General features: G+C 40.3%; 1 protein-coding gene across 7 annotated transcripts in view; it reads left to right on the forward strand.

Annotated features, from left to right (window-relative positions):
- ATIC (5-aminoimidazole-4-carboxamide ribonucleotide formyltransferase/IMP cyclohydrolase) overlaps window positions 1-27,723 on the forward strand; it is a 56,534-nt gene that overhangs the window by 4,269 nt on the left and 24,542 nt on the right. For all 7 annotated transcript variants that reach the window (XR_007075419.1, XR_007075418.1, XM_047444489.1 and 4 more), the window contains exons 3-12: window positions 1,830-1,906; window positions 3,338-3,404; window positions 8,914-9,002; window positions 9,660-9,811; window positions 10,495-10,651; window positions 16,055-16,180; window positions 17,023-17,130; window positions 18,592-18,677; window positions 19,708-19,797; window positions 22,452-22,580. Coding sequence is in view for 5 of the 7 variants with exons in the window: in XM_047444489.1 (XP_047300445.1) it covers window positions 1,830-1,906; window positions 3,338-3,404; window positions 8,914-9,002; window positions 9,660-9,811; window positions 10,495-10,651; window positions 16,055-16,180; window positions 17,023-17,130; window positions 18,592-18,677; window positions 19,708-19,797; window positions 22,452-22,580 (1,081 nt within the window). In the remaining 2 variants the exon portion in view is untranslated. The remainder of the gene's footprint in view (window positions 1-1,829; window positions 1,907-3,337; window positions 3,405-8,913; window positions 9,003-9,659; window positions 9,812-10,494; window positions 10,652-16,054; window positions 16,181-17,022; window positions 17,131-18,591; window positions 18,678-19,707; window positions 19,798-22,451; window positions 22,581-27,723) is intronic.

Raw genomic sequence — 27,723 nt, forward strand, 5'->3', positions numbered from 1 at the left:
TGTTGGAACTGTGTGTGTCATTGGTCAAACACCAGTCATTTGCAAATGGCTCCCCTTAACAGGAGAATCTACCCAGGAAATTCCGTATCTTACTGGCAGAACTTGCTGCTTTAAAGTGTTTATTATAGTCTCAGCTACTTGGAGGATTACTTAATAAGCCCAGGAGTTCTAGGCTGCCATGGACTGTAATCTTGCCTGTGAATAATCACTGTACTCCAGGCTGGGCAACATAGTGAGATCCCATCTCAAAAACTATATATGTTGATTGTAGAAAATTCGAAAATATGGACAACTATAAAGAAGGTAGTAAAAATGGATTGTAATTCTTAACATGCTAGTATATTTTTCTTCAAGCATTTTTATAAGCATGTACTTTATTTCATAGCTTACACAGAAGATAGATGCAGTTTTGCTTCCTGCTTTATTTATTTTTATGTATTTATTTATTTTTTGAGACGGAGTTTTGCTGTTGTTGCCCAGGTTGAAATGCAGTGGCACAATCTTGGCTCACTGCAACCTCCGCCTCCCGGGTTCAAGCGATTCTCCTGCCTCAGCCTCCCAAGTAGCTGGGATTATAGGCATGCCCCACCATGCCTGGCTAATTTTGTATTTTTAGTAGAGGCGGGGTTTCACCATGTTGGTCAGGCTGGTCTGGAACTCCCTTACCTCAGGTGATCCATTCGCCTTGGCCTCCCAAAGTGCTGGGATTACAGGTGTGAGCCACCCCACCTGGCCCCTGCTTTATTTTTTCTTATATATTGTGGGCATTTTTACACACCATTACAACTTATAAAGTCTGCCAGAGTGTTCGTGGTTACGACTTTCTAGGGGTCTGCTTTGTGATATGGATTAATATTTACTGTCCTTCACTTGACCCTTTGTCACATTGTGTGATTATTTTTTCTAGTTTACTTTTTTTTCCCATGTAAAACTTTTTATTTAACATTTCTGTAATCAGAACTCTCAATCTTTTGTTTAAAACTTGGAAAGCATTCCTCACATATTTAATTTTGCTACATGCATGATTTTTTAAATGCTAAACCTTTGATTCATAAGGAATATATTTTTGTTTGGGTTTAACCCGTTATTCCAATAGCAACACCACTTTATTAAACAGTCTTTTATGTCTTCACTCACTTGATATGCCATCTTCATGTGTTGTTGTTGTTGTTTTTTGAGATGGAGTCTTGCTCTGTCGCCCAGGCTGGAGTGCAGTGGCATGATCTCGGCTCACTGCGACCTCCAACTCTTGGGTTCAAGTGATTCTCCTGCCTCAGCCTCCCCAGTAGCTGGGATTACAGGTGCCCGCCATCACGCTCGGCTAATTTTTTGTATTTTTTTAGTAGAGCTGGGGTTTCATCATGTTGGCCAGGCTGGTCTCAAACTCCCCTCCTCAGGTGATCCACCTGCCTCAGCCTTCCAAAGTGCTGGGTTTACAGCCATGAGCCACCGTGCCCGGCCAAGGATATTTTTAATGCTTTTTGTTACATACTGCCAAATTCTCAGTTGTATGTCTTAGTAATATTTAATGAGTATGGCTTATGATTCAGTTTCTAAATGCTCTGAAAATTATAAAACCAGTGCTGTAGTAGTTACCAATTATCCCTGAACATACACAACAGTTAGGAAATAAATTAAATAAACTTTTTTTCGGAAGTAAATAGAATTTTACTTAAGAAATAAAATATAGTGAAATACTTTAAAAAATCAGAATTTTCACGTTGAATTCAGGCTCAAAATCTCTTGAAATGAAAACAGTAGATGCTTTGAATAGTGAAAATTACAATTCAGCCACACCAGTAGTACCATTCTGTTTATCTGTTTTTCAGAGATGTCTCTGAGTTGACGGGATTTCCTGAAATGTTGGGGGGACGTGTGAAAACTTTGCATCCTGCAGTCCATGCTGGTAAGTGGTTGGTATCTTTAATGTAAAAACAGTCAGTGGTTTCCAGGAATATTTTAGTTGATAGCGTCCTAAAATAAAGGAAGAAAAAGGCTCAAGAGAAATTTACATATAAAGTTAATGTTATGAAGTTGCTGCCAGATTTCATAATACGTTAGAACTGGTTTAAAATCCAGCTTGTCTTACTACTTGATGAATTCAGATTGTTTTCCTCTGCTTGCTATTAGTCCTGACCTGATACCTAATTTAGAGTCTGGTGTTTCCTGCTCAAGTTGCTGAAGATATTTAGATTTCATCGTATGAAAATACTTTTAAAATAGTTCAAACTTAGAAGAAAGCATCACAGCGTAACTGACTTGCAAAGGAATTTTTTTTTTCAAAGTGCTTTACATTTGTTCGTTCACCTAAGAATGAATTGTATATAAACCGAAACGGCAAGAAACTGGTATCCTCCTAGTTTGTCAGTTGTGGTACAATTTGGTGAATAAAGCTGAATGGCTACAGATCATCAGACAAGCCATTGACTTACAGAAACGCATAGACTGTTCTGGAACTAGCAACAGTTTTGTAAAATTCCTTTTACCTTTTTTACATTTTATTGCTCAAGAAACTGGGATCAAGAACTGAAGAAAAAGATTTTTAAATATATCTCTCTTTTTTTTTTTTGAGACAGGATTATACTCTTGCCCAGGCTGGAGTGCAGTGGTGCGATCATGGCTCGCTGCAGCCTCTGTCTGCTTCCCAGGCTCAAGCAGTTCTCCCACCTCAGCCTCCCAAGTAGCTGGGACTATAGGCATGTGCCACCACACCCAGCTAATTTTTGTATTTTTTATAGAGACGGGGTCTCACCTTGTTGCCCAGGCTGGTCTCGAACACCTGGGCTCAAGCGATCCCCCACCTTAGCCTCCCAAAGTGCTGGTATTACAGACATGAGCCACTGTGGCCAGCCAGATATATCTGTTAATCCTAATTTTTTTGTTTGATAACTCCCCAACTACATGTTTGATATTCTTTAATTAAGAATATTATGCTGGGCATGGTGGCTCTTGCCTGTAGTCCCAGCACTTGGAGAGCTGAGACAGGAGAACCGCTTGAGCCCAGGAGTTTAAGATCACCCTGGGCAAGATGGCAACACCCCCCTTCTCTTTAAAAAATTGAAAAGACCAGCTGGGTGTGGTGATGCATTCCTGTAGTCCCAGCTACTTGGGAGGCTGAGGTAGGAGGATCACTTGAGCCCTGGAGGTCAGGGCTATAGTGAGTTGTGATTACGCCACTACAATCCAGCCTGGGCGATAGAGTGAGACCATCTCAAAAAAATAAATTTTTTTTTTAATCAATGGGATTTAATTTGATTGAAGACACTATGTTGAAAGACATTCCTTAATCTGACTTGTTTTTTGAAGCTAATGACTTTGTTTAACTTTTTTAAATTAGGAATCCTAGCTCGTAATATTCCAGAAGATAATGCTGACATGGCCAGACTTGATTTCAATCTTATAAGGTAAAAACCTGAAATTAAACTTTTAACACATTACGAACCAACGACAAAGACTATGCCAAACCTGGTGTCCCTGTGTTTTCTTACTCACTATAAACCTTTACTGCGTACCTTCTGTGTGACTTTGTATGTGTGTAAGCATTTTGGTTTGGCCAGATTTATATACCAAAATACATACTGAAGTTTTTTAGGAAGTTACAATCTAAATCTTAGTATGTATAGGTTGAGTATCCCTTATCTGAAATGCTTGGGACCCAGAAGTGTCTTGGATTTCAGATTTCTTCAGATTTTGGAATATTTGCAGGTAACATGCCAGTTGAGCGTCCCTCAGAAATCCGAAATGCTTCAGTGAGCATTTCCTCCAAGTGTCATGTTGACGCTCAAAAAGTTTCAGATTTTGGAGCATTTCAGATTTCAGGTTTTCATATTAGGAATTATCAACTTGCACAACTAACTGAGTTATTTGCATAAAGATACTGGCTGTTTCTCTTAAATATACGTAACAGCTTTATTGAGATCTAATCCACATACCATACAACTCACCAATTTAAAATGTACAAATCAGTGGTTCACAGAAGTTGTGCAACCATTACTGTGTTAGTCTGTTCTGCATTGCTATAAAGGAATACTAGAAGCTGGGTAATTTATGAAAACAGGTTTATTTTGGCTCGTGATTCTATAGACAGTACAAGAAGTGTGGTGCCAGCATCAACTTCTGGTGAGGGCCTCAGGAAGTTTATAATCACAGTGGAAAGCAGAGGGGGAGCTGGCATATCCCATGAGAGAAGAAGCAAGAGAGAGGGAGAGGAGGAGTTGCCCAGCTCTTTTACTTTTTAACTTTTATTCTTAATTTAATTTAATTTTATTTTGAGACAGGGTCTCGCTCTGTTGCTCAGGTTGGAGTTCAGTGGCATGACCTTGGCTCACTGCAACCTCTGCCTCCTGTGTTCAAGTGATTCTCCTGCCTCAGCCTCCTGAGTAGCTGAGATTACAGGCGTTTGTCACCACGCCCAACTCATTTTTACTATTTTTAGTAGAGATGGGGTTTCACCATGTTGGTCAGGCTGCTCTTGGAACTCCTGACCTCAAATGATGCACCCACCCCGGCCTCCCAAAGTGCTGGGATTAGGTGTGAGCCACCACGCCCGGCCTGCCCGGCTCTGTTAAACAACCAGCTCTACATGAACTCAGAGTGAGGACTCATTATGGGGAGGGCACCAAGCCATTCATAAGGGATCTCCCCCGTGACCCAATCATCTCCCACCAGGCCCCACCTCCAACATTGGGGATCACATTGCAAAATGAGATTTGGAGAGGACACACATCCAAACCATATTAATTGCCACATCCAATATTAAAACATATTCATCACCCCCACCCTAAACCCTATACCCATACGCATTTATTCTCCATTTCCCCAACGTCCTCCAGCCTCGGCAACCACCAATTGTTACGTGTCTGATTTGCCTGTAGTGGACATTTTCATATAAATAGAATCTAACAATATATGGTTTTTTTGTTCCTGGCTTCTTTCACTTAGCATGTTTTCAAGGTTTATCCATGTTATAGCATAGTATCAATAGTTCATTTCGTTTTTAGTGCTGAAAAATAATCCATTGTGTGGTCATACCCTGTTGTTTATCAGTTCATTTGTTGATGGACATTTGGGTTGTTTCTACTTTTTGAATATTATGAATAATGCAGCTATAAATATTTGTGTATAAGTTTTTGTGTGGACATACACATTCGTTTCATTGGGGTATATACCTAGGAGTGGAATTCCTTGGTCATATGGTAACTATGTTTAGCTTTTGAGGAACTGCGACCCTGTATTTCAGAGTGCTGCACCATTTTACATTTCCAGCAGCAGTGTGCTGGATGGGGCTCCAGTTTCTCCACATCCTCATCAACGTTACTATCTGTCTTTTTGATTCTAGTCATTCTAGGGGTTCTGAAGTGGCATCTCATTGTGGTTATAATTTGCTTTCCAAATAATGTGGAACACCGTTGGATGTGCTTCCTAGCCAGTTGTTTACCTCCTTTGGAGAAATGTCTGTTGAGACCTCTTGTCCATTTTTAGTTGAGGTATTTATCTGTTTATTATTGAGTTGTAAGTTTATTTCCTCTCATTCTATGGATTGTGTTAGCCTTTCTTGATGGTTTCCTTTGATCATCACAAGTTTTTTCTTTTTTTTGAGACGGAGTCTTACTCTCGCCCAGGCTGGAGCACAGTGGCGTCATCTTGGCTCACTGCAACCTCCACCTCCCGGATTCAAGCGATTCTGCCTCAGTCTCATGAGTAGCTGGGGTTACAGGTGCCCGCCACCACACTTGGCTAATTTTTTTGGATTTTTAATAGAGATAGGGTTTCACTATGTTGGCCAGGTTGGTCTTGAATTCCTGACCTCGGGTTATCTGCCCGCCTTGGCCTCCCAAAGTGCTGGGATTACAGGCTTGAGCCACCATGCCCGGCCCACAAAAGTTTTTAATTTTGATGATGTTGAATTTATTTTTTCTTTTGTTGCTTGTGTTAATGGTGTCATGTCTAAGAAACCATTGCCTAATCCTCAGTGATGAAGATTTTTGTGTATATTTTCTTTCTTTTTTTTTTTTTTTTTGAGATGGAGTTTCGCTCTTGTTGCCCAGGCTGGAGTGCAGTGGCGTGATCTCGGCTCACTGCAACCTTCGCCTCCTGGGTTCAAGCGATTCTCATGCCTCAGCCTCGCAAGTAGCTGTGATTACAGGTGCCCGCCACCACGCCCAGCTAATTTTTTTGTGTTTTTAGTAGAGACGGGGTTTCTCCATGTTGGCCAGGCTGGTCTTGAACTCCTGACCTCAGGTGATCCACCTGCCTCGGTCTCCCAAAGTGCTGGGATTACAAGTGTGAGCCACCGCACCCGGCGTGTGTACATTTCTTTTAAGAGTTATTTTAGTGTTAGCTCTTATACTTAAGTCTTTGGTTCATTTTAAGTTAATTTTCATATACAGACATGAAATAGAAGTCTTATTTTATTTTGTATGTGGCTGTCTAGTTGTCTCAGCATCATTTGTTGAAAAGACTGTTCTTTGCCCAATCGAATGGTCTTGGCACCCTTGGTCCATGTGCCTGCTGTTATGCCAGTACTACACTATTACTATAGGCTGGTAACAAATTTTGAAATCAGCAAGTGTGAGTCCTCCAACTTCATTTTTCTGTTTTTTGTTTGTTTGTTTGTTTTGTTTTGTTTTGTTTTTGAGACGGAGTCTGGCTCTGTTGCCCAGGCTGGAGTGCAGTGGCGCGATCTTGGCTCACTGCAAGCTCTGCCTCCCGGGTTCACGCCCTTCTCCTGCCTCAGCCTCCCGAGTAGCTGGGACTATAGGCGCCCGCTACCATGCGCAGCTAATTTTTTTGTATTTTTAGTAGAGACAGGGTTTCACCGTGTTCGCCAGGATGGTCTCGATCTCCTGACCTCGTGATCCGCCCGCCTCGGCCTCCCAAAGTGCTAGGATTACAGGCGTGAGCCACTGCGCCCGGCCCCAACTTCGTTTTTTTTATTCAAGATGACTTTGACTCTTCAGAGTCCCTTGCATTTCCACATGATTTTTAGAATCAGCTTGTCCATTTCTGCAAAACAACGCAGTTGGAATTTTCATAGGTATTGTGTTGAATCTGTAGATCAATTTGGGAAATGTTACCATCCTAAGAATATTAAATCTTCCAGTCTGTGAACATGGGGTGTCTTTAATTTCTTTAACATTGTCTTGTGAAGTAGAATTGTTTTCTTAATTTTTTTCTCATTCACTGCTAATGTATATTTTAATACAATTGATTTTTATATATTGATCATATATCCTGCGGCTTTGCTGAACTCATTTATTAGTGCTAAAAGGTTATTTTTGTGAATTTGGGATTTTCTGTATACTAGGTGGTATCATCTGCAAATAGATATAACTTCACTGCTTTCTTTCCAGTCCTGATGCCTTTTATTTTCTTTTCTTTGCTAATTGCTCTGGCTAGAACTTCTAGTACAGTGTTCAGTAGAAGTGGTAAGAATGGACATTATTGTTTTGTTTCTTTTTTTTAAGATGGCGTTTTGCTCTTGTTGCCCAAGGCGGAGTGCAGTTGCGTGATCTTGGCTCACTGTGACCTCCGCCTCCCGGGTTTAAGTGATTATCTTGCTTCAGCCTGGGGTTACAGGCATGTGCCACCTTGCCTGGCTAATTTTGTATTTTTAGTAGAGATGGGGTTTCTCCATGTTGGTCAGGCTGGTCTTGAACTTCCAACCTCAGTTGATCCATCCTCCTGAGCCTCCCAAAGTGCTGGGATTGCAGGCGTGCGCCACCTTGCCCGGCTAATTTTTGTATTTTTAGTAGAGATGGGGTTTTACCATATTGGCCACGCTGGTCTCGAACTTCTGACCTCAGGTGATCTGCCTGGCTCAGCCTCCCAAAGTGCTGGGATTATAGGCATGAGCCACTGCGCCTGGCCTCTTGTCTTGTTTCTGAGTTGAGTAGACAAGTATTTTAGTCTTTCACCATCAAGTATGATGTTAGCTGTGGGTTTTTCTTACACTTTGTCATGTTCAGTAAGTTCCCTTCTATTTTTAATTTGCTGAGTGTTTCTATATGAATACCTGTTGAATTGTGTCAGATCCTTTTTGTACATCTATTGAGATGATCAGGTGGTTTTTGCATTTTTCTGGATTCAGTTTGTTAGTGTTTTGTTGAGAGTTTTTGTGTGAAGATACCTAAGAGATACTGGTCTCTAGTTTTCTTGTGACATTTGTCTGGTTTTAGTAGGAGGGCAGTAGACTTAATAAAGATGAGCTGCAAAATGTTTCCCCTCCAATTCTGTTCTTCTGTTTTTGTTTTTGTTTTTTTTAATTAGTTTTCAGCAGTTAGGCTTGTTTGGAGCCTGCCCGTAGAGCTCCTCGCACTACAGGCCTAGGAGTGGAACTGTACTTCACTGATTGTTAATTTTAGATTACTTCTGTATTTTAAATTATTCTTTTGGCATTCCTGTTACCATCATTTTTATGACCTCTCTGAAGGCAAAACAAATGTTTCACCCTTAGAATGCTCTGATATTTTTCATCATTGTGCCAATCCACTGGAAAAAGAATCTAAATTCTAATGTTCTGGATAATAGTGATCACATTCCAAAATGAGAATGTTATCTGTAATCTTGTACTTTATACTTCTATTAAAATGTTCTATAAATTTTTCATGGCTTGGTGGTTCTGGGTAGCTAAGGTTATGCAAGCAGCAGCGTTGCAGTGTGACGTGGAGGGAGTACTGTGTATTCAGATCCGGGGAGCACCTGCTGACTAAATTACCTCTGCTCGACCCCAGCAGGACACCCTGACTTTTTAACACACTCGTTAGAATTCTAAAATGTCAGGCTCACAGTTTATATATTAGTTCTCTATGGCTTTTGTTTACGTTAATAGTACTGACTTGTTTTTTTCCTAGATAGCTGTAAACCACATGAGTGGACTTTTTAATGACAGCCAGATTCGTCTTTGTTTTATAGAGTTGTTGCCTGCAATCTCTATCCCTTTGTAAAGACAGTGGCTTCTCCAGGTGTAACTGTTGAGGAGGCTGTGGAGCAAATTGACATTGGTAAGTCAGAAAAACCATTTTAGAAGACTGAGAGGAGAGGATTATTTAAATTTTAGTGAGATTTCATTTTGAATTTTATTACTGAGGAAATAGAAAGAAAATAGCTACTTCTGGATTGTGTTTTGGGATTACTATAATTCATTTATATTTTCTTTTTTTCATTTATATTTTCTAAGCTTTTTTTGTATGCAGAGATGCATCTGGGTTATTTTCCTGATTTATTTATTTATTTATTTTATTTTTATTTTTTTGAGATGAAGTCTTGCTGTGTCACCCAGGCTGGAGTACAGTGGCACAGTTTTGGCTGACTGCAACCTCTGCCTCCTGGGCTCAAGTGATTCTCTTGCCTCAGCCTCCTGAGTAGCTGGGATTACAGGTGCACACCACCACGCCTGGCTAATTTTTTTTGTATTTTTTATAGAGATGGAATTTCGCCATGTTGGCCAGAGTGGTCTCGAACTCCTGACCTCAGGTGATCCACCTGCCTCAGCCTCCCAAAGTGCTGGGATTCCAGGCATGAGCCACTGCGCCCAGCTTATTTTCCTGATTTTTAAGTCAGGAATTAAAATGGAAGTACATGCACAATGACTTTATTTAAAAGCGGTTCATAAGCTGATAGGGACATACAAAAATCAATAAGTCTTTTGTTCTTCAAAGGTGGAGTAACCTTACTGAGAGCTGCAGCCAAAAACCACGCTCGAGTGACAGTGGTGTGTGAACCAGAGGACTATGTGGTGGTGTCCACGGAGATGCAGAGCTCCGAGAGTAAGGACACCTCCTTGGAGACTAGACGCCAGTTAGCCTTGAAGGTGGGATGCACTTTCATGATATTGTAAGTTACATCCATGGAGTGCAGTGTTTGCCAGACCAAGCAGTATTCAGTTCTTGGTAGATTGCATTACCTACCAAAGCTTTGCTTGGAGCTGCTATCCTTTTGTTAAAAATGGAGAAACCAGCTATTACAGAGGTGTTCTGTCAAAAAGATTGAAAGAGAGCTGGGCGCGGTGGCTCACGCCTGTAATCCTAGCACTTTGGGAGGCCGAGGCGGGCGGATCACCTGAGGTCAGGAGTTTGAGACCAGCCTGGCCAATGTGGTGAAACCCTGTCTCTACTGAAAATACAAAAATTAGCCGAGTGTGGTGTGGTGTGGTACGCCTGTAATCCCAGCTACTCGGGAGACTGAGGCAGGAGAATCGCTTGAACCCAGGAGGTGGAAGTTGCAGTAAGCTGACATCACACCACTGCACTCTAGCCTGGGCAGCAGAGTGAGACTTTGTCTCAAAAAAAAAAAAAAAGATTGAAAAAGAATTGGAAAGGGGTAATTTGTTGGGCCATTCAGTGCTTTGCTGTCATTCATGGTGTCATCGTGTTGTGCAGCCACCACATAGCACTGAATAGTGAGGAGATGTTGTTTGCTGTGGACGTAGAAAACCATCTTGTCCCCACTTTGGAAAGTGCTGCTCGTGTCTCACAAAACTTACGCTTTTTGTAGGCATTCACTCATACGGCACAATATGATGAAGCAATTTCAGATTATTTCAGGAAACAGTACAGCAAAGGCGTATCTCAGATGCCCTTGAGATATGGAATGAACCCACATCAGACCCCTGCCCAGCTGTACACACTGCAGCCCAAGCTTCCCATCACAGGTAAAGCCCGAGCGTTCTGTGGCATGGTTTGCTGTGCCTGGAGAGTGTGTGTTTCTCTGTATTGCATCTGATGTGGTTCACATTCAGAAGATGATACATTCCGTAATGCCTCCTGTAGCCATCTGATAACCATCTGGTTTGAGACGCCATTTGGACTGAAGAGCACAGAAGTTGAGTAGTCTGGAGTTCTGAAAAGATGTCATGGGGGAGATGGAGATTGGAATGTCTCTGCCACGTAGATCTTTTTGAAGACATGAGACAGGATGGGATGGCCTGGATTTTATAGAGAAGAGGGTCAAGAAAGCCTTGGGGTAAAGGCTTGGTAGGTGTACTGTGGAGGAACCAGCAGAAGAAAAGTTGTGAAATTCCAACCTTTTAGAATGCATTTGAGAACAGAAAAGGGACTGTTTGTTTTGCACATATTGTAAGAAGCCGTTGCCTTGGAATATTGGATCTAGAAGCCCAATTGAAGTAGGCCAAAGCAGAAATGTGATGTTAAGAACTAACAACGATAAAGAGGTTTCTTGGAACAAGAAAGTAGGACTTTCTCTGGGTTTGTAGAGTTTAGAGAGGGTTTTTAAATGTGTGTCCTGTTCTGTTCCAAAGGTAGGCTGTGAGAGCCTGTCCTGCTCTGGTACAAGGGAGAGTAGGGGCAGGGACAGAGGTGAGAGTCCCAGGCATGGAGGCCTTGGAATCCCAAGCACTACCGGTGCAGCTGGCCTTGGCTGAGAGCAAGGGCAGCCTCCTTCCTGCCTGGGGCGGTCAGCATTTGGTGAGGGGGTGCAGCCTGGGCTTCCTTTCCCTGTCATCAGCTGAGAGAGCGATGGGGGAGGGGAGCAGCGTGCCAGGTGGGAGGAGAATCTGAAAGTTTCTTCACGTTTGCCGCGTTCTATTGTTCTGCCTCAGATAGATTTTTTTTTTTTTTTTTTAAATTAAGACAACGGAGTCTCGCTCTGTCACCCAGGCTGGAGTGCAGTGGCGCAATCTCTGGTTCAAGCGATTCTCCTGCCTCAGCCTCCTGAGTAGCTGGGATTACAGGTGCGCACCACAATGCCTGGCTAGTTTTTCTGTTTTTAGTAGAGATGGGGTTTCACCATGTTGGCCAGGCTGGTCTCAAACTCCTGACCTCAAGTTATCTGCCTATCTCAGCCTCCCAGAGTGCTGGGATTACAGGCGTGAGCCACCACACCTGGCCTCAGATCTCAGATACACTTTGACACTAACACTTCCCAAATCCCCACAGACACCCTGTGAAGTCCTGTAGGCTGAAGTAATCTAAGTAATTTGTTTTCTCTCGGCCTTTCTGGGCTTCACAGCACAGTAATCTTTTAAAAATGGAAATCGGATGATGTCAGACCCTACTTAAAGCCATTCCTTGGCTTTTCTTAAGCACTTTGCCCTGCCCCACAAACCCTGTGCTGCCTGCCTGCCTCCTATCTGCCCCCTCAGCAGCTCTCCCTGCGCCTGCTGCTAGCCCCTCCGCCCTGTGCCTCCAAGTGGGCCCAGCTCTTTCCACTCCAGCGCCTCTGGCTCCTTGTCCCCTTCACCCAGAATTCTTCCCTCTGCCCTTCACCGTCCTGGTTTCTTGTTATTCAGGCCTCACCTCCTCAGAGAAGCCTTCCTTGACCGCTTAGACCAAAGTAGCAGCCCATCATGCTTTCATCCCATCACCCTGTTTTGCTGCATGTGTTTCTATTCAATCTGTTCAAATTGTCTTCCCCCATTAGGATGGCAGCTTCCTTTTTTTTTTTTTTTTGAGATAGAGTTTCACTCTTTTCGCCCAGGCTGGAGTGCAGTGGTGCGATCTTGGCTCGCTGCAAACTCCACCTCCCGGGTTGAAGTGATTCTCCTGCCTCGGCCTCTCAAGTAGCTGGGACTACAGGCGCCTGCCACCACACCTGGCTAATTTTGTATTTTTAGTAGAGATAGGGTTTCACCACGTTGGCCAGGCTGGTTTTGAACTCCTGACCTCAGGTGATCTGCCTGCCTCGGCCTCCCAAAGTGCTGGGATTACAGGCATGAGCCACAGCGCCCAGCCAGGATGTCAGCTTTTGAGAGCAGAAGCTGCATCTGTTTTTGTTTGTCGCTGAATCCCCAGGGCTTAGAAGACTGCTTGGCACATTCCCTAAATGTTTACTGAATGAATAATTAGCAACCTGACATTTTGCACAAATTTTTCCTTGTAGGACTTCTTGAAACTGATTTGTCTGCTGTTATATCTGACCTATTTCCTGCTTATAGTTTATATTCTCCATTAAGATTCTGAGACAAAAAAATCCCCATGTACTGTCAGTTCTTATACTTTTCATTTTCCAAAGCATTTTCATTGGACTATATAAAAGCCTTCATTGTTCCTTAGACTGTGTGTGCGTTTCTTTTGAAGTTTAAAGTATTATTTGTGGTAAACATGGCAGAGGCGGCCCTGGACACGTAAATAAGCGTTTCTTGTGCGAGATTCCCAGGATTTCTCCCCAACATGGGCTTATTTCCACAATAGAAAAGGCACTTTGCCTTTTCATGTGGTTTGAGTATTTGGCAGTGATGTTATTACAGAGTGTATGGTTGCGATTGTATCTAAAACAAAATTGAAGCAAGAACAAAGATGGGGTTGTGTGAGTGTGTGTATGTGTCTGAGATTTTAATGACTGGTTTGCTTATGATTGGAAAGAAGAAAATTCCTATTTATTTCAGCTATTTACTAGATTAAGCAACTTTCAGCATTTCTCTGGCACTTTCTATTTCAGTTATTAATGTCTTTGAAAATTTGATATTTGAAGGGGAACCGGATACTCTTTTTTTTTTGAGGCAGAGTCTTGCTCTGTCGCCCAGGCTGGAGTGCAGTGGCATGATCTCGGCTCACCACAACCTCCGCCTCCCAGGTTCAAGTGATCTCCTGCCTCAGCCTCCTGAGTAGTTGGGATTACAGGCATGTACCACCAGGCCCAGCTAATTTTTGTATTTTTAGTAAAGACAGAGTTTCACCATATTGGCCAGACCAGTCTGAAACTCCCAACCTCAGGTGATCCACCCACCTTGGCCTCCCAAAGTGTTGGGGATTACAGGCATGAGCCACCGCACCCATCCAGATACGCTTAACTATGAGATGTTTCAGAAACCAAAAGTTTTCTCCCACTTATCAACCTTAGCCTAAACCATCTATGAGGAGTGGGAGGGAGATGGGGGAGTTGTACATATGGTGTTTTGTTTTATTATGCCTGTTGTATGCCTTAGGGGATATTTTACTTCTATTGTTTACTATTTATTGCCTAGTTTGTTTTCTTCTGTGCCTCTCGCATAAATTTCATGAGGACAGTGATTTTATTTGACTTGATTTTTGGTTGGGGGAATTATTTTTTCAAGTTCTTTTTAAAACGGGCTTTATTTTTTTAGAGTAGTTACAGGTTTACAGAAAAAATACACGGTGATTATAGGGAATTTCCATATACCCCGCTTCCCCGCAGTTTCTCCTGTTAACATCATGCATTAGTGTGGTGTATTTGTTACAACTGATGAACCGATTTTGATTCATTATTAACCAAGGTTCATAGTTTAACATTCATTCTTTGTGTTGTACATTCTGTGTATTTGGAAAAATGCACAGTGGCATGTCTCCCCCATTACAGTATCATGCAGAATAGTTTCAATGCCCTAAAACTCCCTTGTGCTCCTCCGCCTCATCCCTCCTTTCCCTTCTCCCCAACCCTTTGCAACCACTGTTATCTTTTTCTCTTTTCTTTTTTTTTTTTTTGGAATGGAGTCTTGCTATGTTGTCTGAGCTGGTTTTGATATCCTGGGACTCAAGCAGTCCTTCCGCCTTGGCCTCTCAAGTAGCTGGGATTACAGGCATGCACCACCATGCCCAGCTGTTTTTACTGACTCTGTACCCATTTCCAGAATGTCAGATAGTTGGGATCATACAGTATGGAGCCCTTTTAGGCACTTTCAGTTAACAACATGCATTAAGTTTCTTCCACATCTTTTTGTGGGTTGGTAGCTTATTTCTTAATGCTGAATAATATTTCACTGTGTATGAATGTACCACAGTTTATCCATGGACATATTGAAGGGCATCAAAACTTCAAGGACAGTTTTTGGTAGTTTATGAACAAAATTGCTATAATCATTTGTGTGCAAGTTTTCAACTCATTTTGATAAATACCTAATATTTTCTTTTATTGTATACTATTTATTGCCTATTTTTTATTTGCCTCCCCAGTAAGCTCCATAAGGACAGTGACTTTTTTTTAAGAGGGTTGCAGGGACGGTTTTTTTCACTGATGTATCCTGAATACCTAGAACAGTGCTTAACATCGTAGTAGGCAACTCAGTAAATATTTGGCAAGGTCTTTAAAAACTATCTTAACCCATGAAGGACATGAAATTACACATTTTTGTTTTTTGGGTTTTTTTTTTTTTTTTTTGAGACGGAGTCTCGCTCTTGTTGGCCAGGCTGGAGTGCAGTGGCGCGGTTTCGGCTCACTACAACCTCCACCTTCCAGGTTCAAGCGATTCTCCTGCCTCAGCCTCCCTAGTAGCTGGGATTACATGCGCCCGCCACCACACCCAGCTAATTTTTGTGTTTTTAGTAGAGACGGGGGTTTCACCATGTTGACCAGGCTGATCTCGAACTCCTGACCTTGTGATCCACCCACCTCGGCCTCCCAAAGTGCTGGGGTCATGGGGGTGAGCCATTGTACCCGGCTCATTTTTGTTTTTAATTAGTGCTGGCCCACCATTTCTTTCTGTGTGCTGAACTTCTTATGTTTATTCACAAGAGATACTAGCTCCTAAAAAAATCTGCCAGTGTTGAGAAACTAGGTAATGGAAAACTCTGAAGTTGCAGTCTCCTTTTAACTACAGTTCTGCTTTAGGCAGAGTCTGTTGAGTTTGCCATCAAAGAAGAAAGAAAAAACACATTATTTCTTCTCTTCTTCCACCCACAGCTGTTGCTTTAGCTTGTAATATAATTTCTTACATCGATAGGGTTTATAACTTTAATTTTGTACTGTCTCTGTGATTACCTCAATTGTTTAATCTTAGTTCTGTATTTACATGAATTCCTGACTGATCACTAGTCTTGTCATAGTTTCTCCCATCCCTAAATCTCTTATTGTGGATTTATTTCTAGACTGGCTGGTTCTGGTCCTCCAGTCGTGTGTGTGTGTGTGTGTGTGTGTGTGTGTGTGTGTGTGTGTGTTCATGTACATGTGCATTTTTTTTAAAGATGGGCTCAGGCTCAGTTGCTTTGTTCTTTATCATCAAGATTTTATGTTTGTGTGTATCTGTTTGGCTCTTAATTATACTTAAAACATTTGTTTAGTCATGTTATTTTTTTGAGAAGTGTGCATACATCTGACCTTACTGATCCTGCTTAGTAATGTGCATGTATATTTTTACATTTAGTTCTAAATGGAGCCCCTGGATTTATAAACTTGTGCGATGCTTTGAACGCCTGGCAGCTGGTGAAGGAACTCAAGGAGGCTTTAGGTATTCCAGCCGCTGCCTCTTTCAAACATGTCAGCCCAGCAGGTAAAGCTCTGTGCTCTGGAAAGCTCCAGAATTGTTCGAAAGGCATTTCTTCTTAAATTTTTTTGAATATTAACAAGTTCTAATGTGAATATAGACATGCTATGAAATCTGAAAGTCATCTGTTGATAACAGTATCAATGTAATAATATAAAATCTGATACACACACACACACAGAATTGTGTAATATTGTCAGGAAAATGAGGCAGGAATTTGTTTGTGGGGTGGAACCATAAAAGTTTAGAAAATAAAAGTGAAATGTCCTAATGCAATAGACTAAGTCTTGTGCCACATCTTTGAAAATGTAATGGAGTAAACATAAAGAAGTTCTTCTTTGGACTCTTTATCTGAAACTTCTTATAGTCGTTGTATGAGATACTTTGCTTCTGTGTTTAAATCATGAACTCCGCAATTGAGTTGTCTGTACACCACATCTTGCTGACAGTCCTCCAGCACATGATTTGTTCTCAGGTGTTTATTGGGTGTTAAAGTGATGTGAGTGGGGAAGAAATAAATGATGTGTGATATCAAAGTGATATCAAGCAGAACAGAGAGAAAGAGTGAGTCAGTAATGAAGTAAACGAGCTTCACCTACACGCTGGGTACTGTCAGGCTTCAGTGGCTCTGTGGTTTTGGAGGGCAGAGAGGAGATTTCCCTCACACTGCTCCCACAACCATATTTTTAGTGTATAATTATCTGGCTAAATAGATTTCTGTTTAATTTAGCACAGGCACTAGAAAATGTGCTGCGTAGACTGGGTGTTAAGAAAACTGTCTTGATTTAGGAGTTGACAGGTAGTAACTTTAGCTTTCTTTGTTTATGATTTTACTATTTTCTAACCAGGTGCTGCTGTTGGAATTCCACTCAGTGAAGATGAGGCCAAAGTCTGCATGGTTTATGATCTCTATAAAACCCTCACACCCATCTCAGCGGCATATGCAAGAGCAAGAGGTCAGACTCATAGGGCTTTTTGATTTGGGGGAGAAAGAAAAAGCAATATTTTATCCTAAATAGAATAAAGAGGATAGAATAAAGAAAAAATATATAGATATTCTGTATAATATATAGATGAAATTAAGGACTTCTATCTCTATGTAAATATACAGTTATTCTATATAATATAGTTTGATTAAAGTAAAATACCCTTTGTTTCATTATAGGATTTCCTATTTAATTTGTTTTATTAATATTTGAGATTGATTCTGTGAGTACCTCAAAATACATTTCTTTATAAAAGTGTATGTTAGTATTTTAGGCCGGGCGCAATGTCTCACGCCTGTAGTACCAGGACTTTGGGAGGCTGAGGCGGGCAGATCACGAGGTCAGGAGATCGAGACCATCCTGGCTAACACGGTGAAACCCCGTCTCTACTAAAAATACAAAAAATTAGCTGGGCGTGGTGGGGGGTACCTGTAGTCCCAGGTACTCAGGAGGCTGAGGCAGGAGAATGGTGTGAACCCGGCAGGTGGAACTTGCAGTGAGCCAAGATAGCGCCAGTGCACTCCAGCCTGGGTGACAGAGCGATACTCCGTCTCAAAAAAAAAAAAGTATTTGTTAGTATTTTAGTGTAATAAATGGAAACACAATTGGAATTTGGTCAATGTAATTTTGCTAATTTAGGCTATTGAATGCATTTGTTATTGTTTAATATGTGACCAAAATTGAAATTACAAAAAGCTATTCTTTTTTTTTTTTTTTTTTTTTTGAGACAGCTTCTTGCTCTGTTGCCCAGGCTGGAGTGCAGTGGCGCCATCTCAGCTCACTGCAACCTCCACCTCCTGGGTTCAAGCGATTCTCCTGCCTCAGCGTCCTGAGTAGCTGGGATTACAGGTGCGTGCCACCACACCTGGCTAATTTTTTTGTATTTTTAGTAGAGACATGGTTTCACCATGTTGGCCAGGCTGGTCTTGAGCTCCTGACCTCAAGTGATTCACCTGCCTCAGCCTCCCAGAGGGCTGGGATTACAGGCGTGATTTATGGCTCTTCTAACTTTACTACATTTGGTTAGAGTCATGTTTTATCAGAGACATTTACTTGTTGAATTTAATAACCCATGAATATCCCTTTAGTATTTCTGAAAGTTCTTGAGAAACTATTACCATAGTTTATCATCTACAGCAGTGGTCAGCAACTTCAGCTGAATCCAGCCTGCCACCCTGTTTTTGTGAATATAGTATATATAAATTGGTCCTTCACAGAAAAAGTTTTCTGAGTGTCACTCTAGAGGGTAAAATTAAAGAATACTTTCTTACTGGTTACTTCAGTTAAATGACTTATTGATCTGTTAAAATCTTATGTAAACAGTAAGATTAGCTTTAGAGTAATGAATTTTATATGACAGTGGAGAATTTTATTACTTTTTCTGTATCAGGATACTTTGTGATAAATACCTCATTTTAATTTTATTTACAGGGGCTGATAGGATGTCTTCATTTGGTGATTTTGTTGCATTGTCCGATGTTTGTGATGTACCAACTGCAAAAATTATTTCCAGAGAAGTTAGTGGACATTCATGTATCTTAATCTGTGTGTTGAATAAAGCTTTATTTGTTCATAATGTTAATTGAAACCATAACCTATAATATTTATATTTATAATATCTTTTAATTAGCTAAGTTTATCATTTAATGTTCATATTTTAAATAGAACATTAATCTTAAATTGTTAATTTTGAAATGTAGTGAATTATTGTTTCAGATGGATATTTGGCTGTTATGATGTTTTTTACTTATATATTTATTTTAAATTCTTTGTTGTCTTCATGCCAAAGTTACTGTTTCTGAAGAGCAGAAGTTGTAATTTTAGGTGGTGATGCGATATAATCCATCTTACTGCATAGTGGGTAAAAAACAGAAACTACATTAATAAACTTACCCCATCAGTTGAATACCAAACAGGTATTCCAGACAGGTGGGGGTACTGTTGGTAGTAGGAAGACAGGAAGAAAAGAGAAAAAGATTAAATAGCTCAGAAAGGGGAAAAAAATAAGCAGAGGTGAAGGCTGAAGGAGCATGTGGCTTGGCACTATTTTGTTGCTTTAGGATTCTTTCCATGGCCACTGCCATCCCTGGGTTACAGGTTACAGGAGGGCTGTGACATTTGTATCTTTCGTCATGTCAAATCTCTGATTTAATCTGGTCTTGCTGTTAAGGAAAACGCCTTGCCGGAAGAGGTCATTTAACCATGTACTAGGAGAGTCAGGACTAGAATGTGCTCTTGCTCATTCAAAACACTCCCTGAAGAAATATTTCCTCCTGAGGTACATGTGTTAAGAGCAAATCAGTCATATTTTCTTAGTTTAAACTGAAACGAACAAAAACTTGGAGAGGACAGAAAGTTAGGATCTGCTATACAGAAAGCTGTATTCTAATAGATTTCTCTTTTCAAGTATAGCGTTAGCATTGTTTGTTGGAGGCAGAAACCAGAATATGCTGCCACATTATTTAAGACTGATAATTGCTGCTAGATTTTTTTAAGAGGTGTTCTCTGATTTTTAAAAATAGAAATTAAAATTTAATATTTTTGCAGGTATCTGATGGTATAATTGCCCCAGGATATGAAGAAGAAGCCTTGACAATACTTTCCAAAAAGAAAAATGGAAACTATTGTGTCCTTCAGGTGAGTGCAATTCATGTTTGAAGCGGTAATTTGCTCTTTTATTCTGTGTCTCTTTCTCCCTTGTTTACTCTTTCCTTTATACTCATACCCTTCTAGTTTATCCTTATTATAGTTTATTTTCCCCAATCCTGCATTTAAAAAAATACTATTAACTTGGGGTTTTGAGATGAGAGTAGCTTTCTTACCCTCAATTTTAACTTTTTGCTGGTTGTGATGGCTCATGCCTATAATTTCAGCCACTTGAGAGGCTGATGTGGGAGGATGGCTTGAGGCCAAGAATTGGAGGCTGTATTGTGGTACTATGATGCCTGTGAATAACGACTGCACTCCAGCCTTGGCAGTGTAGTAAGACCATGTCTCTAAAATACTAATAATAGTAACAATATTTAATGGAAAGTCTCTCCATCCTTCTGTTACCTTTTGAAAAGATAACTATTTTAAATTTCTTGCTTATCTTTCCTGAAATAGTCTATGTATTCAGCAAATATTTGCATGTGCATTTCTTTTTCTATTTTCCTATTGACACAAGTGCACCCTGCTTCACCTTCTTGGAAGTTTGTCCTGTATCTGTGTATTTTAACTTACCTAGACAGTCACCAATCTTTAGCTACTACAAATACCCCTGCAGTGAATAACCTAGAAAAGTCCTGAGAGTGAAATTAAGGCTTAATAACAAGCTCTATGTATATTGGTAATCTTAATTGATACTGCCCCTTTTAGATGTTGTAGGCAAATTCATTGTCCTAACTGAAATATATAAGGATGCCTGTTTCCCAACACTTTTGTCAGCATTGTGGTTTTATACTTTTAAAAAGTCTCTGCAGTTAGAAAATGGCATCTCAATGTAGTTTTAACATTGTGTGTGGTATGAGCATCTTTTCATGTTTGAATGTTTTTATTCCTTTCTATGAACTGTCTTTCCATATTCTTTGATGATTTTTCTACTAAGTTGTTGTTGGCTTTTTTTTTTTTTTTAACTGATTTTTATGAGCTCTTCTGTATTGGGAAAAGTAGCTCATGGTCTAAGATTATGCATTGATAAAGCAAAGAGTTATTTCAATTTAAAGTAAAAATTCCTAATGCTACTTTTCATAGTATTGATATCAGAACTCTGTGGAATCCTAATTCCTTACAAGGAAAGTTATTAAGTATATTCTTTTGATTGTAAGATACCAATAATTTTATAGTTCACCATAGATTCCATGTCAGCTATTTAAGGAAAGAAGAGAATACCACATTAAAGTTAATACTTATTTTTTTTTAGCCACTTGACAGTCTGTTGCCCAGGCTAGAGTGCAGTGGTGTGATCTTGGCTCACTGCAACCTCTGCCTCCTGAGTTCAAGCGATTTTCCTGCCTCACCCTCCCAAGTACCTGGGACTACAGGCATGTACTACCAGGCCTGGCTGAGTTTTGTATTTTTAGTAGAGACAGGGTTTCACCATGTTGGCCAGGCTGGTCTCAAACTCCTGACCTCAAGGGATCTGCCCGCCTCGGCCTCCCAAAGTGTTGGGATTACAGGCGTGAGCCACCGCGCCTGGCCCCCAGTTTCTTAATCAAGTTTTTTTTTTGTTGTTGTTGTTAAGAGTGTTATGTACTTAACAACCATTAGCATTTTCTTGTAGCATCATGGAAAATATTTTCCAAAACCTGAGTCATTTTCTTGATCTCTTTAACACCTGATAGTTGGAGAGTGTCAAAGGAATATCAGGACTTCATTGGTATTTTACTTATTTGAGAATTTGGCTTAGTTTGCACATTGGACGCATGATTATAAGCATGAGACAACTTATCCCTCTACCTGACTAATGATAAGTTTCTCCTAGCATCAGTTAATAGGAGAGCATATCAATTTTAGAAATTTTATAGTGCATAATACAAAGGAACATTTTAGAATTCAAGAAAATGTAGATTAAACAGAACTAATATTTACGGGGTCTTGCTTATAAATTATATGTCAGGGCTTTCTAAATCAAAGATCATCCAAAGCATAAAGAAGAAATAGTGTCAAGTTTAAAAAAATATCCAGGGAGAGAGTAGTGTTACACGTATTGTTCCACACACCTTAATGTTCTTTCGGCTCAAAATTTGGGAGAGGAAGATGGCAGTAAATGATACAAATTCCTTCCAAATAGCAAAGACACAGATTACAAATCCTGTTTTCTCACTTTTAGCTTTCAATTCCTGGGTTAGCTGGGTATTTTGTAACAGATTTTTAGAAAGGAAAATTAGAATTTAATTTTTGTGCCATTGCTTATTTAATTAGCACATCTGTTTTATCTGCTGACCTTCCAAAAGAACCATATAGGTAGTAACTTAACCAAAAATACACTCACTGGAATCATTGTTTTTTAACATGTTGTATATAGGTTGTAAAATCTATAAAATACTATTGGGTAGTAAAATCTATAAAAGACTTTGGAGAAAAATATTAGCGCCTGGCTGTTGTATCATACCAGAATGTTGAATTGTATCATACCAGAATGATTTAACACATCATTTGTTGTGTGAGAAAAATTAGAAAATTAGAAAACTGTAAAAAATTAGAAACATGCATATAACTTTACTTACAATGAAATCTTTTGTATATAAATTAAATGAAAAATTTGAGGGAAGTGGAGAGATTAACTTTAACTTTTAAAATTTGTATTTTAGATGGACCAATCTTACAAACCAGATGAAAATGAAGTTCGAACTCTCTTTGGTCTTCATTTAAGCCAGAAGAGAAATAATGGTGTCGTCGACAAGTCATTATTTAGCAATGTTGTTACCAAAAATAAAGATGTAAGTTGGGAAGTATCTGAACTGACTGCTAGTAACTTCCATTGGTCTGTTTTCAATACTTAATGAGCTTTACATTTATTAAGGTCTGGATTTGGAACTGGTCTGTATGCACACGGCTAGCTAGCTTATCTTTGAGTTGTCACATAAGCTTTGGAGTTTAAGAAATGAATCAAAGGCCATGTTAGAAGCTTCTGTGCATATGTACACACTAGAGATAAGTAGCTTTAATTGTGTATAAATGGGATCATGTCTTCCATAATCTGACTCCTGTAACTTGGCTTTTTTCCATGTGCTAGGCTACAAATGTGTTTTTATATCAATACATATAGATGCTGGGTGCAGTAGCTGACATTTGTAATCCCAACACTTTGGTAGGCCAAGGGGCAGCTCTCTTGAGGTCAGGAGTTTAAGACCAGCCTGACCATGTAGTGAAACCTTGTCTCTAGAAAAAGTACAAAAATTAGCCTGGCGTGGTAGCTGCGCCTGTAGGTCCAGCTACTCGAGAGGCTGAGGTGAGAGGATTGCATGAGTCTGGGAGATCAAGGCTGCAGTGAGCCGTGTTTGTGCCACTGCACTCCTCTCTGGGTGACAGAACAAGATCCTATCTCGAAAATAAATGCATATTCATATCTTTATCTGAAAGTCCATGTGGCAGTCAGTCCATGTGTAGATGTACTACGATGGATATTTATTGTTCTTATTTTTACCCTGATTGATTGATTTATTTTTTTATTTTATTTTTTCTGAGACAGAGTCTTGCTCTGTCACCCAGGCTGGAGTGCAGTGGTGCGATCTCGGGTCACTGCAAGCTCCGCCTCCCGGGTTCACGCCATTCTCCTGCTTCAGCCTCCCAAGTAGCTGGGACTACAGGCGCCCGCCACAACGCCTGGCTAATTTTTTTTGTATTTTTAGTAGAGACGGTGTTTCACTGTGTTAGCCAGGATGGTCTCGATCTCCTAACCTCGTGATCTGCCCACCTCAGCCTCCCAAAGTGCTGGGGTTACAGGCGTGAGCCACCATGCCCAGCCTTTATTATTTTTTTTAAGAGACTTTTGAATGTTTTTATCCCTTTGAAGCTCGCTCTGTTTGAATGTTTTTATTCCTTTGAAGCTTGCTCTGTTGCCCAGGCTGGAGTGCAGTGGTGCGATCATAGCTCACTGCAACGTGGATCTTCTGATGGATATTTAGATTGCTTACATTTTCAGTGCTATGATCAATGTTTTTATATAGACAAGTTTTTGGGCTTGTGCTCTTTGTTACCTTGTAGTAAGGACACGTTCCTAGGATAATAATGGTGATTTTTGTGTTTTGGATATATTATCTCATTTAACACTTAGGTCACTCTATGGGGGTGACTACCATCGTGTCAATTGTGAAGATCACAAAATTGTACCATAAAGGACAATTAAGAAATTTGACCGGAGTTACACAATAAAGAATGGACAAGCTGACATTTATTTTTTGGAGTATCTTAATTGGGCCTTCAGTTTGAAGGATGTTTGTCCTAGGTCTAAAGTAGGCTGTGCTTGTTGTTCAGTACTTTGCAGGAATCATTCCATTGCTTTCTGGTCTGTCTGGCTGATAGCCTGGAATTTTTTATTGAGTGCTAGGCATTGGGTATGAAAAAACTGTAGCGATATTTTGAGGGCTGGATGGTGTTATTTTTCTCTCCAGAGTTGACTTGTCCTTCTTTTGGGCAGATAAGGTGTAGGAGGTATCTTCATTCTGTCAGGAATTGTTGAGCTTCCTAAAGGCTAAATAGGAATTTAGCCTTCAGTCTTTGTGAGGACTGGTCTGTTCATGGTTCATTCCTGCTCCTGAATCCCTAGGTATCTACTGCTGTACGCTGAACTCGGCTTTTGTCCCTTAGTCCTCTAAGACTGCCAAAAGTTGTGCTCAGCCAATTTACCTTTAGTTTATTGCATGCAACTTGGAAAATGCCTTGAGGAGAAAAGCATAGACTGTCAGGCCCATTTCTTACTGCTTCCATTTTCTCTGGGATCTTTGTCTGTTAGCACTTGCTGTCTGTCCGCTCTGCCCAGCATTTCTGTTTGTTACTAAAAGAGGATTGGTCTCTTAAGCTATTTGCTGTAACAGAAGGAGATGAGGGGCTGCAGCTTGCTCCCAGGTCTGAATCCTGAGGCCTTTTCAGTAGAATTGCTGGAAATAAGCCTTAAAATCTTTATCCAGAGAGTTCTGTCTGTTGATAAGCATACGACGATTAACATATCTTTTTTGTTTGATTTAATGGATATTCTTTCATTTCTATCTTTGACAATTAATGGTGTCCTGAAGTAAAGAAACATGTAGGCATTATACATAGAAATATCTTTCAGCCCTTTGGAATCCACTCTGGTTGGTTCATGTACTTTGAAAAATACTGAATGGATATTGACCTAGATTCCATGGTACCATGTTGAGAATTGTGCCTAGCTACTGAGAGTCTTTTTTCTAAGGTTTGTAGATATTGGATTCATTAATAATTTAGTGATCTTGATAGGTTTTGTGCCTCTGGATATTTTTTATAAGAGTGGTAGGTATGATCTTAATCGTTTATCTAAACTCTTTCCTTGCTTCATATGAATTCTTAGTAGAAATTTGGAAACTTAAGGATGAGAGAATGATAGCTTTGTTCTCCTTTCTGTTTTACCCGTCTTTTTAAGTGGATTTTTGTTAACATTCCAGCCTCAGAATTATTAGGTCTGGAACCATTTCAGTCCTGAGAGAGCCAGACAGGTGGATGGAATGTTTATTAATACTGAACATGTTTGAATTATTTCCTCTTCTCCCATTTTTCTTGAATAGTGCTTTAATTGTGTTAACTATTTGTAGCATGTTTCTAAGACTGGATTCCCTTACTCCCAGTCCACTGGCATTTCTCGTATGCCTTGATCCCAACCCAGGATGCCAAGTGTATTAGTTTTTATCACGCTGCTATGAAGAAATTCCTGAGACTGGGCAATTTATAAAGAAAAGAGGTTTAATTGACTCACAGTTCCACACGGTTGGGGAGGCCTCAGGAATCTTATAATCATGGCAGAAGGCACCTCTTCAGAGGGCGGCAGGAGAGGGAATGAGTGCAAGCGAGAGAAATGCCAGACGCTTACTGTCAGATCTCATGAGACTCATTCATTGTCATGAGAACTACATGGGGGAAACTGCCCCCATGATCCAGTTACCTCCACCTAGTCCTGCCTGTTGACACATGGGGATTATTATAATTCAGGGTGAGATTTAGGTGGGGACACAGCCAAACCGTATCACCAAGATTATCTTTGAAGGTCTAGACATCTATGAAGCTGGCTTTTGCTACTAAGTTTTCTGGGAACCAGAGGAATCAGATTTATAGTTGATGACTCAAATAGCAGATAAAGATAAAAGATATATAACATTAATAATACCTTAGAGTAATAAATTCTTAAGAAATCCTAATAGCTTTTTTTAAATTAAACTTTTTAATTTTGAGATAAAAGTTGTAGATTCATATACAGTTGTAAGAGTTCCCATGTAACCGTTACCCTATTTCTCCTAATGCTAGCATTTGTCACACTACAGTACAGTTCCACAACCATGCCATTGACATTGATAACAGTTGAAGACACAGGGCATTTCCAACACTGCAGTGATCCCTCATGTTCTTCTGTAGCCGGGCTCACTTGATATGGCTTCCACCCTCTCCTTACCCTTGGGCAACCACAAATCTGTTTTTCCTTTCTATAATTTTCATTCATCGTGCATTCATGTACAGTTTTTGTGTGTTTGTGTGAGCATAAGGTTTTTGTCTTTTGGGGAAACAGGGTCCAACTCTGTTGTCCAGGCTGGAGTGCAATGGCTCGGTCTTGGCTCACTGCAATCTCCGCCTCCCGGGTTCAAGCGATTCTCCTGCCTCAGCCTCCCAGGGAGCTGGGATTACAGGCATGCGGCACCACACCTGGCTAATCTTTGTATTTTCAGTAGAGACGGGGTTTCACCATGTTGGTCAGGCTGGTCTTGAACTCCTGACTCAGGTGATCTACCCGCCTGGGATTACAGGCATGAGCCACTGTGCCCAGCCTAAACGTAAGTTTTTATTTCTCTTTGATAAATGCCCAGGGTTGTTAACTGCTTTGTGGTATGGTAGTTGCATGTTTAGTTTACTAAGAAACTGCTGAATTGTTTTCCAGAGTGGCTTGTACCATTTTGTATTCCCACCAGCAATGGATGAGTGATCCAATGTCTCTGCATCCTTACTAGCTTTTGGTATTGCTACTTTTTTTTTTTTTTTAAAGACATGGGATAGTTGTGTAGCAATCTCTCACTGATTTTAATTTGCATAATAGCTCATGATGTTGAACATTTTTTTGTGTACTTATTTGCTACATGTGTATCCTTTTTGGTGAAAATGTCTGTCTTTTGCCCATTTTCTAATTAAATTTTTGATTGTTACTGAGTTTTTTTGTTTTGTTTTGAGATGAAGTCTCGCTCTGTCACCTAGACTGGAGTGCAGTGGCATGATCTTGTCTCACTGCAGCCTCCACCACCCGGGTTCAAGTGGTTCTCCTGTCTCAGCTTCCCAAGTAGCTGGGATTACAGGAATGCGCCACCACACCTGGCAAATTTTTATATTTTTAGTAGAGATGGGGTTCACCATGTTGGTCAGGCTGGCCTGGAACTTCTGACCTCAGGTGGTCCACCCGCCTTGGCCTCCCAAAGTGCTAGGATTACAGGCATGTGCCACTGCGCCTGTCCTGTTACAGAGTTTTTAAAGTTTTTTTATGTTTTAGGTGCTAGTTTGTTGTTGGATATGAGGTTTGTTAATAATTTTCTCCTAGTTCGTAGCTTGTCTTTTCATCCTCTTTAATGAGGAATCTTTTACAGAGGAAAAGTTCTTAATTTTACTGAAGTCAAATTTATCAACTTATCTGTTGGCTGTAGCAAATATCCTCTGTCCATTTAGCATACAGACGTGGACTATCATCCTTCTTTTCCATTTGTATTCATGCCTGATACTAAAGATAGTGATATTTTTGGGCGTTATTCTTGTTGTTCTATTTGGACTGGTAATTCCTAATGGTTTTTGAACAGTTTCAACTTAAGTTATTCTAAACAAAAGAGAAAATGATCGTAATTTGATTTTTCCAAAGTCTTGGCTGTCTGTGTGCAT

This window comes from Homo sapiens, chromosome 2 (assembly GCF_000001405.40).
Source record: "Homo sapiens chromosome 2, GRCh38.p14 Primary Assembly".
In the NCBI taxonomy this organism is placed as follows: domain Eukaryota; kingdom Metazoa; phylum Chordata; class Mammalia; order Primates; family Hominidae; genus Homo; species Homo sapiens.